At 35.5% G+C, this 18,492-nt stretch overlaps 1 protein-coding gene across 10 annotated transcripts in view; it reads right to left on the reverse strand.

Annotated features, from left to right (window-relative positions):
* Positions 217-18,492, reverse strand: part of SOS1 (SOS Ras/Rac guanine nucleotide exchange factor 1) — a 143,320-nt gene continuing 125,044 nt past the window's right edge. For 6 of the 10 annotated variants that reach the window (NM_001382394.1, NM_005633.4, XM_047445582.1 and 3 more), the window contains 6 exons: positions 15,921-16,093; positions 15,590-15,706; positions 13,791-14,055; positions 7,938-7,982; positions 6,141-6,259; positions 217-4,983 (listed from right to left, as the gene is read on the reverse strand). In NM_001382394.1, coding sequence (NP_001369323.1) covers positions 4,492-4,983; positions 6,141-6,259; positions 7,938-7,982; positions 13,791-14,055; positions 15,590-15,706; positions 15,921-16,093 — 1,211 coding nt within the window. In that variant the 3' untranslated portion in view covers positions 217-4,491. The remainder of the gene's footprint in view (positions 4,984-6,140; positions 6,260-7,937; positions 7,983-13,790; positions 14,056-15,589; positions 15,707-15,920; positions 16,094-18,492) is intronic. The other 4 variants (XM_047445581.1, NM_001382395.1, XM_047445583.1 and 1 more) reach the window with 3 other exon arrangements.

Raw genomic sequence — 18,492 nt, forward strand, 5'->3', positions numbered from 1 at the left:
CTCCCACTCACTACAATCAATCAGCAGATTTGACACAGAGGAAATGTGGAACTTCTTTTATCCTTTTATAACTTGATACAGGAAAAAAGTGCCTCCAAAGAAAGACCACAATAAAAATGCAAAATATTTCTATATGGCATATATGAGCTAAATGAGAATCACTAATGATTTCAAAAATACTGCCCTCTAAAATAAATACATGCAAAAATAATACACTTGTGGGCTATGTAAGGCATTTTTCTTTATTATTTTTCAGTTTATCTTAGTAATGCCAGAAAAATAACAGCCGTTATTTTCACTTTAAATGCAAACCAAATACTGCTGCACACAGAGTACAAAGATTACCTATGAACATGGTTAGGTACAAAGGCCATATTAGATGTATAGACCACACTTTGTTCTTACATCAAAGACCGACCGACAGAGCAATTTTTTGACAATTATTTTAGCAAATAACCGTGCTACTAAACAAAGGCAAATACACATATATACACAAACACGTCTCAACTAAAATTATACATGTCACTTTGACAAACAAATTCTCTGGTGGTTTCACCAGATATTTGCACCCCAAAGTTCCCTGCCCAAATCCCGACCCCAAATGCTGACTTGATCTGAAGAAAAAAATTAGAGATGTTCTTAATTAAAGGCACATTTGGCAGCTACTGAAAGTGGCATGCATCTGGCACAGGTGCGCTCTCCCTAAGCCACACCACATGTACCTTCCATCATCTGTTATGCATCTTGTTTCTTTGAGTGGTAGTCCAATGTGACCCACTGTTAGCTAATTTGCTTTATAATTCTGCAGCAATTGGCTACTTAATGCACTATTTTCATTAAAGGCAAAAGGGAAATTTGCTCACAGTCGACAGAAAATGCACTTTACGGTGTCAAAAATGGAAAATAAGGCATGGAATTTACTAAACAAGTTACAAGTGCTTTTGTTGTTTAGATTTATAATATAGACTTCATGCTTCTTAAGTAGAGCTCAAAATATTTCATTGGCTCATGTATAAGGGATTATGAAATAATCTTAAAAGTTAGTAATGAGATGTTTCAAAGAAGAAAAATATTGAATAAAGTCATCATGTTCCCTTATAAATAACTTTACTGCATAATTCTTTCAGCCAAACCAATATTAACCTTGTGATGTTTAGTTACTGGTAAAGATTAATGCAATACAACAGGACCTATACTTGCGTAGTCACACAATATATGTTAAAAGAATAAGTAAACCTATTCACAGCAGCAGAATACCAAGAAATAAATGGTTAAACTGTTTCTTTCTAAATCTGAAGGAACAAAAAGGTTTTCTTCAATATGTACAACACTAATAAATTGGGACACTCCTCCTATTTTGCTGAGTCACTTAAAAATCTGAATTTAAGCTGTCATATTAGAAGACAAACAATGAAATACAAGATTAAGCTAAACTTGAGAATTAAGATCATGACCATAAATACCAACTAATTTTTGGTTTACATAAGGTAATTTTTGATTTATGGAGGGAAAAAAACCTTTAAGAATTTAGAATCATAATATAGCCTCCAGCTGACATAGTAATTGTTCTCTGGGCTGTTGTTGACTGTAGTATTAGTGTGGCATGCTCTTTGTCAAATTCAGATCCATTAAAGCATCCTTGAGTTGTTAGAGAATAGTAACCTACTAAACATAATTTGATGCCCAACAACCTTTAATTAAGCGAACTCTCAATGTATGTTTCCTGATAATGTGTAGTCTTAAAATACATCAGCCTTGAAATATTTTCATTTCTAAAAGAAATGTTCCACATTTTGGAATGTGGTTAACAAAAAGTCATGCTGCATTTACCCCCTTGTAATGTCCAGGATTCAAAAGCAGAATTTTGTAATGATGCATTTATCTCCTCAGCCATTTCTGGTCCCTGATTAAATAGATTTTCATTACTACAAGGATAAATTTGTCAACTAGTTAATGTTTCATATTGAGAAGAAGGCAAGGATGCCATTTTCTCACCTCCACCTAAGGGCATCCAATTGGCATTTTTCTAATCAGTTACCACTGCAGAAAATATTTTTACCTAAATGTAACAGTTCAGAATAAAAATATCCTCCATCCACAATGCATGTAAAACTGTTGCACAGTGAAGTGGTCTCCTAGAACCATGGGGTAGAAGAATAGTTCCCTTTGGGAGAAATAGGATTAGAACTCCAAATCTGAATTTTTCCTCTTTATAGACTAGATAGGTTGAAAAGGGGTTATCACCTTATTGAAGGCTAACACATTAGCCGAAGACATACTGAAGGGGGTCCAATGTGACTTTTACCAGGTTCTCATTTGGAATGTGCCTGGGGCAATTAAAAAGAGAAGTAATCCATGAGACATAAAAAGAGAAATCTTAGGGACAATGAGGCTGGCCCAGTATAAAGTCCAGGGAGATTCTGGACTGTCTATCATGATTAGTTGTAGCGGCTCTAGTAAGTTGGCTCACATAAATACTGTTGAATGGATGGTCTTAGGGACACTTTGCATCCAAGAGGGGATTTGAAATTAATGTTTTAGGACGCTTTTCAAAGAGGAAATATTTTATAAAGAGAAGAATGGCTACCATCATAGGAATGGTACAGATATTGAGAAAGGATTCAATTCTAACAAATAAATAAGAAAATAGGATAGACTGCTTAATGATGGTGCAGTTAACATACCTTCTGGTCTTAAAGGACTACATACTGTACTATCGTGATGTACATTTTATGCTCTAATAAATATCATAGGAAATTATTAAAGTACTAGGTTCCCACCATGTTGCAGCACTTCTAAAAATGTCTCTAATGGTGTGGTTAACAGAATTGCTGAAATGTTGCTTCATTATTCAGAGGATACATGCAGATGCTGATGAACCAGATAAACTCTCTAAGGATGGAATACTGCACATTTCACAGACATTATAGTGGAGATTAATAAAATGTTTTCTCTTCAACAAGGTGCATGCATTTCAGTCACAGTATTTGTTAGACTCAGAAGAACAGTACATACGCTTTATGAATAATCCATATTATGATAGTAATGATGCAGGTAGATGTTCTATTATGAATAGTTTTGATAAAGCAGAAAACCTCAAGCAAGGTAGAATGTTCAATATAAACCTTAACAAACTGTATACTTGTTGCTTAGGAACTTAAAACTTACTTACAAAGTTCTGCTTAAAAGATACCCATCCTATTCTAACCAAGTATCTTCCTATATGCCAAGCTGTGACTTTAGATCATTCTTTAAGATTAATACATATATCCAGAACTAGAAACCAAGGCGTACCACAAAACGTGCTTTTATGTTTAGTGTTTTTGTGTGTTTTTCAACTAAAAGAAATAAGAATCAACCATTTTCTTCATATAATAATTTAATATATGCCAGCCAAACAAAGTATTTGTATCTTTATTCAATTAAATTAAAACAGACCTGCCAGGTATATTATATAACATTCACTATATACATATGATTTAGGCAATGCAAGATAATTCTAGATATGCTGATTACTCAACTATGTGTAAAACATGAGCGGTGTCAGTGATGCCCAGCAAGTGCTCCTTTTCACATTGGGTGCCTGCATTTCCATGGTATGGTTAGAGGGATAGCTACGAGCCATGACATGGACTACCAGTAAACTTCTGTGGGAGAAGGAGGGAAAATGACAATCTAGCATAGATGAACAGTCTCCTAAATGCAAATAGAATAGTTGACAGTTATTTTTTTTTAAAAAGTTCTTCTGTCATGTTAATGACACAAAACTTCTCTTTTTTGAAGGCAACACCACCACATTTTGTTTGGGTGTGTGGGGACAGGTGGGGGGAATGCTCTTAAAATTGGTACAATTATTCCTAAAACAACAACAACAACAAAAAAGTACCTCTTTGGTGAAGCCTCGGTACCCATTCAGTTCACCGTAATAATCTGTAAACAGGCCTGTAGTACAGTGCCGGGCCTTGATTTCAACAAGGTCAGGTACCACAGCCTTTCCTCACAGTCCTTTGAGTGATTTTTAAGAAAATATTCTAAAGTAGAAGAGTAAAGCAAAGGAAAACAAAGGAAGATATTAAGATCCCTGTTTAAGTTTTTTTTTTTAAAAGTGCATAATTTGAATTACAAAAACTGTCATGTGGGCCTGCTGGACACTAGACTGTGTTTTCCATCCCTTTAATGATCACTTCACAAAAGATCACTTCACAAAAAGAGGACTCCTGCCTATTGGCCAGAAAAAGTCCCTTTATGATTTTCAGGTGCAATCAGTTGTCCAATTCCTCTAGGTCGGTCTTTCCATATTCTAAACTGGAATACCATTTCCATTGTATAATTACATCTAGGTTAAAATTCATTGTCTTATACTGCATCTTGAAGAAGAGTCGTTAGTGTTTGGAGTTCTCATTTTAACTCCTCAGTGCTGGCACATTCAGTGCATCCATTGCCAGCAATGGATTTGGGGCTAGGAAAATATACATCCCAGTACAGAGGAACTCAGGAAGAATGGGCATTCTCCAACAGTGGTGGTCCATCTCTGTGCATGGATGGGTGTGTGTGCTCCCTTTTGTAAGTTTTTGGAGGGAGTTTAGGGATATGTTGAGAAGTGCTTTGTCGTGGAGGAACAGGCGGCCCAGCAATGGAATGAAGGTCCACTTCTTGTGTCAATGGTGGTGATGGCAGATGCCTTCTTGTGCCGTGAGGAGAAGGTGTTTGAGGAGGAGGTGGTGTAAAGGGGGAAGGGCTGTTTGGGAAGAAGGCATTGCCATGGTCACTTTTTTTGCCCAAAGGGGGAGGTTGGAGATGTAGTGGTGAGCTTGAGAAAACATCAGGTGTCCTCACAGGTTCTCGTGGTGGTAATAAGGGAGGGCTTTCAGGAGGGTCTGAGATAGAGGTCCGGTCTGATATTGAATATCGTGGTGAATAGGCTTTTGATGTGGGTTGCCTAGGAGGAATGGCTGGGGGACTGTCCAAATGCTTAGACATAATCTAACAAATGAAAAGAATAAAATACACATTTATTAATAAATTTATGAAGTATCATGACTATAAGAATTAAGTTGGGGTTTTCAAACATGCTATTGGCAGGATGCTAAGTGTGGAACAGGGAGTTTTGCCATATGTTTTCTTTTTAATTAAAAAAAAATTTTTTTTTTTGAGACAATGCCTTGCTCTATTGCCCAGACTGGAGTGCAGTGGTGCAATCATGGCTCACTGTAGCCTCAACTTCCTGGGCTCAAGTGATCCCCCGACCTCAGCATCCCAAGCAGCAAGGACCACTGGCATGTACCACCATGCCTGGCTAATTTTTTTCATTTTTTGTAGAGTCAAGGTCTTGCTCTGTTGCCAAGGCTGGCATATGTTTTAAATGGGAGGTTCTGTCAATTCATAGAAAAAAAAAGTTTGCCGTAGTTTTTACTTAAATTTTTTTCCTCAAAATTTTGTTTGCTACTGCTTGCTTAGCTTATCACTCAATCTAAGATCATTTCTAATTTAGCATAAAGTACCTATTTTATAATTTTAAGTTAACTATGTTAACATTCATGAAGTTCTACAAAGAGTGTCTTGTCTTGACTTATCCTGGTGCTCTGCACTCTGGACAGCTTAAGAACTAATGAATTAAGTTTAACAGCTGGCCAAAAAGAAAAAAACAAAATTAAATAAGTAGAAATAATAGCTATTTTGAGCCTTTGGGGTCTCTTCCAAACCCAGAATTTTCATGAAAACTCCATTTAAAAGTATGTCAGATTTACTATTAAGGGCTCAGATAAGTAAATTTTAGCATATGTCAAAATACAGTTTGACTTATAATGTGCCTTCATACAAAGCTTCAGGACTTTCTCTGTATGCTTTTAAAGAACTGCTTGAAACCAAATTCCTCTTACTTTACAGATTAAAACTTTTGTTTTTTTCTGAAAATAACCATAGCCTTAGGTTTACAAGGGTCTTGAATGCATACCAAAAAACTACCTTCAGAAGAAAGAAACATTACTGCATGCTAAATCTATATGTAATCCTTGTTTAAACTATTAAGCCTGTATACTCTGAAATGTTAACTTATCCTAGTGAGAACTAAACTAGACAGCCGTTTATTATAATGAACTGTAATGATTCCAATTTCTACACAACAAGATTTCTTACTTTACCTTAGATGGTGAAGATTCTGCTGGGGCAGATTCTGGTCGTCTTCGTGGAGGAACAGGAGGAGGGACAGGCACTTCATCAGTGCCTTTGGTTAAACTTATAGATGATACAGAAGCAGATCCTGTGGGATGTTAAATTTTTAAGAAAAAGTCCACAGGAATTTTATTTCATTTATTTACCTTGAAAAGTCTTAGCTGGAAATTGCTTATAATTAAAAGTAATGTGTAGAAATACCAAAAGCTGTTCAATAAACCAATACCGAATAGTATTTCATTAAAGCAAACTGCCATAAAAGCATGCAGACATTTTTTAGCAGAATATTTAGAAAAAAGCTGCCTAAGGTATTCTGTTATTTTGCCTGAACAAAATAACATTCCCATGGTTACTCTATTATTGAAATTTTTAATTGAGTCTGATTCTCAGATGTCTGGGAGACAGTGAGCTACTGAAAATCTTTGGAATGGTAATTTTTAGATTCTATAATGGGTTCATTTTTTTCTTTGACTTTATTAGAATTTATAGAACTTCCCCACCTTACTGGATAGTCCCTGGGAGTAGAGTGTGTGCTCTTAACCACTCTCTCCAATGTCTCTCCCTAGCATTTCTCTCAAAGGATGCAAGGGAAAGAATCATAGTGTCTAGGTGAGGGGCCTCTCCTCATTTTGTTTAGTTATAGGCTCCCCTTTGCCTGTAAGCAAAAAGAGGCTCATTATACTCTAAATCCAAAAATTTTAACGGTGATGGCACTATTCAAGACAACGGAGGCAGCCCTGACCATGAAAACAGAAATTACACTAAAATCTAGTGAATCTGATTTAAGAATAAGTTGGTGGACTGGCACAAAAAAAGTAAGTAAAGCTACTAATTAGAACCTCTCTTACAGACATTTATGGTAACAAGAACATAAGGTAGGCATATAAATACACTTTGGAAAACAACACTTAAGTTAGTTGTTTATACCTACTATAAAAAAAGATGTGAAAAAAATACTTAAACCATCATTCAAAATTATAGTTGGCAGTTTTTTTTCCCTTTAAGCATTAAGCTTTTTATTTTGTCACATGTTATAAAATATAGAACTTAAAAAGAGTACTTTGTGTACTGATATTATTTAAATGATCAACATTTTGATCACCTACCTTTTTTCTTAAGAATATAGTTAATTCAGCTTGTAACTAGTATTTTCCATTGTACATATTTTGAAATTGTATGAAAGGACAGCAAAAAAATATTAGCTTAAATAATTAAAATAATGGAATTTAGTGACTTGTTAGTTTACCTTACAATTAAAATGGAACTTTATTTTGTTTATCAGTATTTAGGCTATACTTTGAATAATTACAATTATAAGAAAGTTCTTCTAAAGTCAAAAGCAGTTGTCTATAATCTATCCTGCCATCAGGCTAAGTATATTTTGTGATTTAGAAACTGCATGTAGCTGCCAGCATTCCCATATGCGCATGCATGCTCTTGCCTTTTTTTTTTTTTCAAAGTTGAGCATTAAAATATACTTAGAACTCTATAGTTGGAAAAAAGAAATGGTTAAATGTGGAAGCCACTTATTTAATATGTTCTTTTAAGAGAGAAACAAGGTTTTATAAAAAGCATGAGAAATATATAAATTTAAGCAAATCACTTATGATCTAAAGATAGCACAAGTGAAGGCCTCACTTCTAGGATGTTGCAAGCAAGGTACCAATGCTGCCAGACCCAAGAAGAGTTTTAGCAGGAAAGGTTACACTTGGTTTGATTTTTAAAGCCAAAGCAAGAATTATGAGTCTTAAACCAAATATACTAACTTGGGCCATGGGGCAGAGTAACTTGGATAAAGACGGTATCATTGCCTGTGAAAGGAAACAAGAAAAAGTAGATTTTTTTCTTTCATTGATATATTCAACTCATCTGCAAAAATTTGTATTATGATGAAAATGTTATTGTCATTGTCGTTTTAAAGAATGCTGTAACAGTTTATAGTAAAACCTCATTACTACTTACTTTTGAGAAGAAAAAAATGATATCATATTGGGAATTTAAGATTCCTTTTAGCTTTACTTGATTTCATAATTATTAAATGAAAAACATTCATAAAAAAATCGTATATTACTGAAAGACTTTTTAAAATGTAGAAACCCAATTCAAGCAAAAAGTTCAGCTGGATGTATATAAATATGCCATTTAGTAAATATTATTTTGAAAACTCAAACTTGTGAAACAAGTAATAAGTTTATTTTATGTAAGTTGAAAAATAAAAAAGTTACTAATTATATGTCTTTCAAAAATGTTCTTGGGGCATATATTCTCATCACAAAATAACTAGCACTTTGGATATAAAACAAGCTTGAAATTGATACAGGGTTTTTCCTTTTATAGTCATAAACATTTTTTTTAAAGTCATTAAACATTTGGTGCCTAGACTCATTTTACATAGGAAATTCTGATAAATTTAAATTTAGAAAGTCTAATTTCAACAATATTAATTATTTTAAGGAAAAAACTGAAAATCAAAAGCGAAAGCCCCAAGAGCATTAAAGTAGGAAAATTGAGACAAAAAGCTAGGTGATCTATACTGATTCTAAATCAATATAGTTGTTTGTTTGTACAGTGTCTCATATTAACAACAGATGGAACAGATAACGTTATAACATCCAAGAGACTAAAATAATACTAGACTGTGGTAATTTTTTTTAAATTCAGATTTCGTTTTTTTTTTTTTGCACAATAGGCAATCCCTCACATAATTTGGAATATTAAGTTTATTCAAGCATATTTGGTCAGAAGGAGGGTGATCTCACATTCCAGATTTCTAGGCAGCCCTAATTTCAAATAATCTGTCCCATTATCTGATTTCCGTATGTACTGATATTTATTTGGAACCTATGATTCCTAAGTGTAGCAATCCAGCTAATTCTAATATTACCTTTCAGAAGATTAAAATTCATTTTTCTACTCTGAAATTACATGAAGCTGTTGCTCTGCCGATGATTTTCTTCCCTATTAGCCACCTATAATTGAAGATTGCCTGGTTGTAAAAGGGAGCCAGAGATCTGACGTAATAGAGATTAAAGGAGTATCTAGCTCTAGCGTTTACCCTACTTATATATGTCCCACTTTTCCTGGAAAAGAAATAAACATATCTCCTGGAGATATGCCTCAAGAACATGATAGTACACTTAATACAATACAGGAATAGGAGTAAAATCAAAACACAAGCTCATGACTGTTACAACTATAGTCTTTAATTGTACATATGCATGCACACTTGTGTACACAGATGTAAACTTGGCTTTGAGTATATTTATATATAGCACAGGCTTAGACTCATGCATTTGGTAAATTTGGGGCACTAGTTGTCTTATTGCCTGGAAAATACTATAGAAATTCTTTTAGAATTTTACATGCACTAATCAAGAAATATATGCTAGAAATTCTTGTCAGTTAGATACTGAGTAAATTTACTGATAATGACTTAGAAGTGAAATCTAATTAATTTAAAAAACAGTATTAATTTATTAAGCATAATCCCAGATGACAGACAAATGGTCCTCAATCTTGGCTGTACATTAGAATCCTATGGGAAGTTTTTAAAAAATACTGATACCAGGTACCAATGCCAGTCTAGTGTGGGCTGGGCCTACATATTTTTTTTAAGCTCCTCAACAGATGATACTATACAGTCAGGGTTGAAACCACTCTTAAAGATACTCCCCAGTTTATAAAGGAGTCATTCTTGATAGAAACAAGCATTTTTCTATAGAAAAAAAAAAAAAGATATGATAGATAACTTCTTAAACTCACAAAAGCCTGGTAAATGCAAATATATTTGGGATTAGAAACTCATCACCTACAGCAATCTTCCAGGAGGAAAAGCCTTGCGTTATCAGCTTGACATACTTGTAATACATTCTTTTTGTTGTTAAAGAGTCCCCTAAGGGATGGAAATGGAGAAGTCAGACCTCTGACTCCCTTTTATGACCAGGCAATCTTCAAACAGGAAGGTAAAAAGAGCATTTCATCATTTTCTCCTCTCTATTATAGCAGCAGAAACAAGTAGTGAGCCAGTGGTCTTTTCTCTTTTCTCAGCAACTGTCGTCATCACCTCAAAGGTGGACCTGGCCAGGGCAAGGTGTGGAGCAGGGCTTTGAATGTATGTGTGGCAGCACTAAGTACGTGGCCACTTCTCTGCCCTGTCTTTGCCACAACGCTTTCCATGACCACTCTTGCTCATTCTGAGGTCATCTTTCTATAAGCTTCTCCAGTATTTATGTCTTTACCACTATTTTTAGCGTTTAACTGTGAATCTCTTTGCACTATGATTATTTTTAATCTCTCAGTAAGACTGCAAGCTTTCCCAGTGAAGACGTGTAAGTGTTTAGCAAGGAATAAGATATGCAGCAGATACTGGCTGAAATAATTAATTATAGGTTTTTAAAAGTAGATTATTTTGGGAAAAAACCGTAAGAGTAAAAAAAGAATAGTATAGTATTATAACTGATAAAAAAAAATTCTAGTCAAACTCTGCCTTTTGAAAAACTTAAACAATGGAACTTTGTACTGCTTTGAGTGGAATATGTTGGGATGACATATGACTGCAGTCAAGGCAGTTCTTTTCTGCCAGGCCCTGAGGGAAACAAGGAAATAGGTATTCACTCTGGTGGCAAAACAGTGGGTAGCAAGTTGGAGGCTCTGGGTGATCCTCTGGCACTCGCACATCTGTTAGTTAGGCAAAAGTGAAGACAAAAGCATGTGGAGAAGACCTTTAATACACAAAAGCAACTGATAGGTTTTAAGGGATTAGCAGAACACATGGATGGCTTTATATTACACTGGTTTATTTGATTTCAAAATCAGTTATTTTCAGTTTTTAACCAAAAACAAAGGGAGTAGTAATAGGGTTTTTCTTTATCATAAACAAAGAGAAATTGAGAAAACCCTCAAGTCTAAGATTACAAAGCCTAACTCCTGAAACAATGTTTTCTCCACCTGTCCAGCTGTTTAAGTGAAATACTGTTAACTTAATGCTATTATAACTGTTTATAACAAAGCAGGATCCAGAGCACTGCATTCTAGAATGATTTCTTCTTCGCTGCTTAGCTAGTCATTTAAAGATTCAGCACTAGTAGAGAACTTAATATGCTTATCTCCTGTTTTTTCCACCACTTTCATTTTTAGCTACTTAAACAAAGAGAAGTAGAATTTGCAACTGATGGCTTTTATGTGGTTTCAATAGTTCACTTATTTGAGAATCCTTAATGATACAGGCCTATAGCTGTCTGCTCTAGGGAAAAAATCCTGCAAACAGTTAAATGGGTCAGAATAAATAATGATTTTAAGTCAGATATACTGAAAAGGTGCTGGTTTCATTTCATTACTTAATTTAGGGGGTTGGCAAGCTGGGGAGAATAAATGGGAATCTTTTTTTACTTGGTGTCTATTTGAACTTATCAAAAATATCTGACAGCTTACTATGTGTATCACATGACTCCATGGCGGGGCACAGTGGCTCATCTATAACCCCAGCACTTTGGAAGGTTAAGGCAGGAGGTTTGTTTGAGGCCAGAAGTTTGAGATCAGCCTTGGCAACACAGCGAGACCCTATCTCTACCAAAAATTTTATAAAATTAAAAAAAAAAAAAAGACTCCATGACCTTCAGTCACCAAATAATGCCAAGTCATAGTATTCTCAAGACAAATACACTTTATTTATTTTGAGACAGGGTCTCACTCTGTTGCCCAGGCTGGAGTGCAGTGGCATGATCACAGCTCATTGCAGCCTCACACTCCTGAGCTCAAGCAATCCTCCCACTTCAGCCTCCCAAGTAGCTGGGACTACAGGTGCACACCTCTCCTCTCAGCTAATTTTTTTATTTTTTAGGAGAGATGGGGTCTCGCTGTGTTGCCCAGGCTGGTCTCAAAGTCCTGGCCTCAAGTGATTTTCCCACCTTGGCCTTCCAAAGTGTTGAAATTACAGGTGTGAGACACCATGCCCAGCCCAAATATACTTTAGATGGCCCAAAGACAACAAAGACTACTGGGTAACTACAGACGTATGTATACTACAGGAATAAACAAATAGGATTCTGGACCAAATTTCAAAATAATATACTACCAAAGAATTATTTTAAGTATATTTTTAGTTAGATTTCTTCCAACTGAGAGAATCTTAAAAATCGAATTTGACCCCCAGAAGGCACAGAAAAAGTATTTTGTCTTAAATCAGAAAGCTAATTAGCAGACTGGGATGACAAACCAGAAATTCTAACTTCGAGGTTAGTGCTTCTCAACCTCCTCCCCCATAATAATGTCATGCTGCCTCTAGTATTAGATTCTAGTATGTCAAATTAGGGGGAACTTGATTAGCACATCGAGCTAAGATAGCCAACGGTAAGGGCATGTGGAAATGGTCATGAAAGAGTTAAAGGTGACTGGATTGAAGTTTTGATTTAATAACGAACAAATGAAAAAGGGTTCTTAGAAGAGCTTTAAAGTTTCACATGAAATTAATTTAAAAAATTATTGGTGATCTAGATTGAAAAGGTAGCCTTTCAAAAGGTGAGCTGTACAGTCCGGCAACCACTAGCCACATGTGATTATTGAGCATCTGACTGTGGCTTGTCTGAACTGAGATGTGCTGTAAGTGTAAAATGCACGCTGGATTTTAAAGATTTAGAACAAAAGGAATGTAAAATATCTCAATCATAAATTTTTATATTGATTTCATGTTGAAATGACAATATTTCTGATATACTGGGTTAAATAAAATGTATTAAAGTTATTTTTGCTTTTCCTAATGAGGCTAACTAGACAATTGAAGTTATACATGTGGCTCACATATTTCTATAGGACAGTGCTGGTCTAGAAATAAGAGATGGATAAGCAGTAGTGTGCAGTCTGTGAGATTTGTTTCGCTGCACTGAAAAGCACAGATAGTGTATTAGCAGCCATTATATACCATCAGGGGACCACTGGGTAGACGAAAAGGGCTTAAATCTGATACATTGCAAAATTAAAAGCTACTAAAGAATTTGGTGGAGAGTAGATGGTGTACCCTGACTAGTATTCAAATACATGTTAAGTATCCTTTATCTGAAATGCTTGGGACCAAAAGTGTTCTGGACTTCAGAATATTACATCATACTTACTGGTTTAGCATCCCTAACTGAAAAATCTCAAAACTTCCAATGAGCATTTCCTTTGAGCATTATGTTGACACTCAAAAAGTTTTGGGTTTTAGAACATTTTGGATTTTGGGTTTTTGGATGAGGGATATTCAGCCTGTATAATAATTTTGGAGCCAGGCAGCATTTGAAACATGGGACTAAAATTACTTGCAGATTTTAAGACTGATCTTTGTCTCCTCTGGATAAGAGGAATGCATTTGAAAAGCTCAAATGAAATTTAAGCTGCCAATTTTACCACTAGGCCTTTCATTAACGTATAATAAATTTAAAGAGGGCTGTTCCAGCAGATTTTTTAGAAATTTCAAGTTGGTGGAGTTTAGAATTTGTCTTATATTTTTATAATATTATCTTTTGAAATGGCATTTGACTTAACTACAAGTTCACACATACAAAAAAATAACAGAGATTCTTTTTTACCTCTAGCATGTATAGTACTAACAAATACCTTAATGCACTTAGAATTTTTGCACCTACTTGAGTGAAAAGGGCTCGAATGATCGGAATCAAATACACTGCAAACATCTGTGGTACTGGAAGCACCAGAAGCAGGCGGAGGTGTTAACGGTGTTCTTGGAGAATTTGGTGCAGATGCTGTACTTTCTGTTTCACTTTCAGGGATCCTACTATAACTAATTTTCCTTGGCTCCTGCTGCAGAGGTGTGGGATGCCTCATGGTACCTGGTCTTGGGTTTGATGGACGAACACCAGGAGATTTTAGGGGATAGCTATATTTTTTTGGCTGTAGACATATCAAAAGAAACACAATACTTTAAACACTGTAGTAGAAAGGAAAGTTTTTCTATATGTGCCTGGTAAAATTCAGCTAATATACAGGAAAATCATAAATCACTAATAAGGACATAATTATTCAAATAAAAGTAGAACATTTAAAGCATTAACATTCTATTTTGCTAAAGCCCTGGTATCTAAATTGTTAAAGAATGCATTTCTTTAAATAACTAAGTTTTAGTCCTATAAATACTAGAGTATTTGTTATTTTAATACATTTGGGTAGAAGTTTTTCTAAAATGTATTGTATATTTCCCTGGTTTTTAAAACAGACTATTTTGAGCAAATTTAACCTTGTTGAAAAGCCAGGATCATCACTGTGAATTACAATACCTTTCTATTCTGTAATACAGTGATGCCATCAGGACCATTTGAGATATTTACGAATACATTAAATTGCCCAATTTTCATTTGTGTATGTATGTTGGTTTTATTGCATTTTCCTTGCAAAATGATCATTTCTCAGTGAGTGCTTCATTGGATCAGATTATATACCTATTTATAATTTTCTATTTTTAATCCATCTTATTAAAAACTGAACAAGGGCTTGAGAAATTTTGCTGTCAGGCAATTGCATACACTTTAATTAAAAGACATTATGTGATTTATCTTGGTCACTTAGAAGCCATCTATGTTTAATTCAGGATTCTTGACTTTTTTTTTTTGAGACGAGTCTTGCTCTGTCTCCCAGGCTGGAGCTGGATAGCCATGGCACGATCTTGGCTCACTGTAACCTCCGCCTCCCGGGTTCAAGTGATTCTTCTGCCTCAGCCTCCCAAGTGGCTGGGACTACAGGCTCCCGCCACCATGTCTGGCTAAGTTTTGTATTTCATTAGAGACAGGGTTTTCACCATGTTGGCCAGGCTGGTCTCAAACTCCTGACCTCAGATGATCCACCCGCCTCAGCTTCCCAAAGTGTTGGGATTACAGGCACGAGCCACCGCACCTGGCAGACTTTTGACTTTTTTATGAACAAGAGAGTACATAGTCAAATCAGTGAGTTGGTGATTCTATTCATAAATTTGGCTGGGCACTGACAAGTAACAAAAAACAATGGAAACTTTATTTTCCCAAGAAAGTATTGTTAGCAAAACTTGGTATTTTATGGCTCATGATTCATGGTTGAAAGTTCTAATAAGTCATTACTTTTAAAATGTCATAAGTAGATATTTTATTACAAGTGAATTAGTATAAATTCATTAAAATTCCTGTCTTTAAAATCTTAACATTTTTTGGGGTAAAAAAAATTAAAAACTTACATAATATTTGCTCAATTTCATCATCTTTGATATCAGGATTTACTCAAATTAATACTAACATTCATTTATTTGGAAGGAAGTGGGATATTCCTGGACATAATTATTAAGTACTTTTTCATTACTTTTAACTATCACATGTATACTTCATCCCTGAATACCTTTATGGAAAACTATATAACACATATGGTAGTAATGACATCACCAGACAAATATACAAATGCTTACAAATCTTGGGAGAGGCTTAGGGTTTCGTGGTTCTATTTCTAGGGATTTGTTGAAAAGATAATCTGTAAATTCCTTCTCCATGCTATTTCCCATCGGATTCAAGTTTTCAAAGAACCTCTAAAATAAATGCAAAGAAAAAATTATTAATATTCAAAATTATAAATTCAGTTTGAAATTCATGGAAAGTTAAGAAAACATTTAATACAAGTAAATTTGAATTATTTCTTTTAAGGTTTATTTTACTTTTTCTCCCCTATAAAATAAACCTGCCTTTTATTAAGTAGTTTAGAAACTTAATCAGAAGTATGAATCTTTAAATAATTCAACTTACTTTGATATCTGATTCTACTCGTAAACAGTAAGGCTGATTTTGGTACTGCTGGATCTCTCCTGTTATTTCTGCTACTTTCCTCCTTTTGCTAAAGTTTATAAGCTCTTTTCCATGTCTTTTTAGGACCTCAGGGTTGCCTTCTTCTGTTTTCAAGATATTAGTGAGATAAATTCCTAGAAGATATAATGGAATGATTTCAAGGATAAAGAAGGAAAATGCAAGTTTTTTTCTGTTTCATTAATTGTGGGTATATTACACTGTACCATCTCAGTTGCCAAAACAAAAGAACCAAGGCTCAGATTTCCATGATATGAAAACAGCAGCTTAAGAGAAAGTATCTGTGAAAGACTTAAATTTTTTTTTTTTTTTCCTCATCAGAATCCATGGAGGCCAGAAGGCAGTGGGATACATATTTTTTATTTTTTTATTTTTTTTAGAAAGACTTAAATTTTATAAACATCCAAGAAAAAGGGAGGGAGACCAAGTTTAATAAAATTAATAGATTTGTTAGGAAGAATAATCAATTTTCCATACCCCCTCCAAGCCATTGTTATTTGATATAAATCACAGTTTTGTTAAAGGAACTTTAAGAATAACTTCGTCACTAATGACACATCATTTTTGGCAAACAGGAAAAATACTAAATTCAGAGGATCATAGTTTCTGCTTAGTCAGCTCTGACGGCCACACAAGAGGTTGTTATGATTTGCAATTGAGAAGTAGTACTATTTGGATAGGCTTACTCATGGAAATGTGGAAGGTTTTGCAAGCCTGTCAAATGTGGGACTGCATACGATTTATGTAAATTCTGGTCTTCAATAGTTTGTAGACTTAGTGGCAACCTAGTAATTGATTTCCTGTTTCCCCATCACTACAGCTGTACACTGGACGAGGAGGAGAATGAACAAAATAACAGGCACTTTCTATTCTAGCATAAAGGCTCTGGAACCAGTTCTGCTGCCTTCTCTGTGTGTGATCTTATTTTTTTTTTTATATTTTATATTTTATATTTTTTGAGATGGAGTCTCACTCTGTCTCCCAGGCTAGAGTGCAATGGCACGATCTTGGCTCACTGCAACCTCCTCTTCCTGGGTTCAAGCGATTCTCCTGTCTCAGCCTCCTGAGTAGCTGGGATTACAGGCATATGCCACCACACCCAGCTAATTTTTGTATTTTTTAGTAGAGACGGGGTTTCACCATGTTGGCCAGGCTGGTCTCAAACTCCTGACCTCAGGTGATCCACCCACCTTGGCCTCCCAAAGTGCTGGGATTACAAGCGTGAGTCACCGCGAGCAGCCTGTGTGTGTGATCTTGTGCAAATTGCTTAATTAGTCTCTCTGTGCCTCAGTTTTTCTCATCTGTAAAATGAGGACAGGAGGGTTGCTGTGAGAAACAAATGAGTGAATATATGTATGAGCTTAGAATAGAGCCTGACGAACGTTAAGTATTAATTAGCCGTGGTTGTGATTGTTGATGCTGTTGTTGCATCTTGCCCTAATATTCTTATGCTTCTACCTTTTTCCCTAAAGTACTGATTACAATGCTTTGAGGAGAAAAAAGATCCTGAGTTCGTTCACTCCCCACATGTGTACGGATTCTCTGCTGTAAGCCAAGTCCTGCATTAGGTACTGCAGGTACAAAGATGAGAAAGACCTCCAGCAGTCCAGTGCTTAAGGCGTTCCTGACCTCAGGGATCCAGAGCTTTGAACTGTTGGCTACTACAGTATAATTTGCTAAGCGCTACATACTAGGAGGTGCTATATTAGTAGGAATGCATAACATGCTATGAGAGCAAAAAGGAGGTATTCCAAACTCTGTCTTGAGCTGGGAGGACTAGAAAAAGCATCACAGATGAGATAATGCTTAGAATAAGTCCCAAAAAATGAGAAGTGTAATGAGTAGAATAAAGTAGAAGAGCAGTCTAAGCAAAGCAGCAGTGTGTATAAAGGCATTGATTCATGATGATGAAGCTTGCTTGAAAGGCATACTTAGAGATAATTTGCTCTTTAGTATGGCTAGACCATAGGGGTTTGGTGTGTGGGGTAGAGGAAGAGTGGCAGGATATGAGGATAGACATAGGCAAGGGCTGGGTTTGTACTTCTAAATGCTTTTGTGGTAGAGGCATACACCACAGAAATCTTTGGCCACATCCTTGGAAAGATAAAAGGATCCAAATCAATATTGAACAGATCAGCAATAATGAAATCTGACATCAATGCCTGTTTGGTTTTTAAAAGGATCCAGTTATTAAGTGCATTAGTTACTTGGTTATTTCTCAGCACCTGGGCTATGCCTGATGATACATTCATAAGACAAAGTGACTGTGTGTTCTAGTAAGCACAGGCTTTTTTATTTTCACATCTGCCTGTCATTTGGCTTTTATTTTCAGCCATTTATACTGTCCTCTACACAAGTTGCATGATCCACTCAGCTCAGTGTTCAGTCTGACAAACACGTCCATAAGAGTATGCATGCTCAATGGCAGCCCAAATCAACCTTCCATAGTGGTCACAAACTGATGGCCCATCTGTGAAGAGTTTGTGGGTATTAGCACTTGGACTGGGTCATGAAG

This window comes from Homo sapiens, chromosome 2 (genome assembly GCF_000001405.40).
Source record: "Homo sapiens chromosome 2, GRCh38.p14 Primary Assembly".
Taxonomy (NCBI): domain Eukaryota; kingdom Metazoa; phylum Chordata; class Mammalia; order Primates; family Hominidae; genus Homo; species Homo sapiens.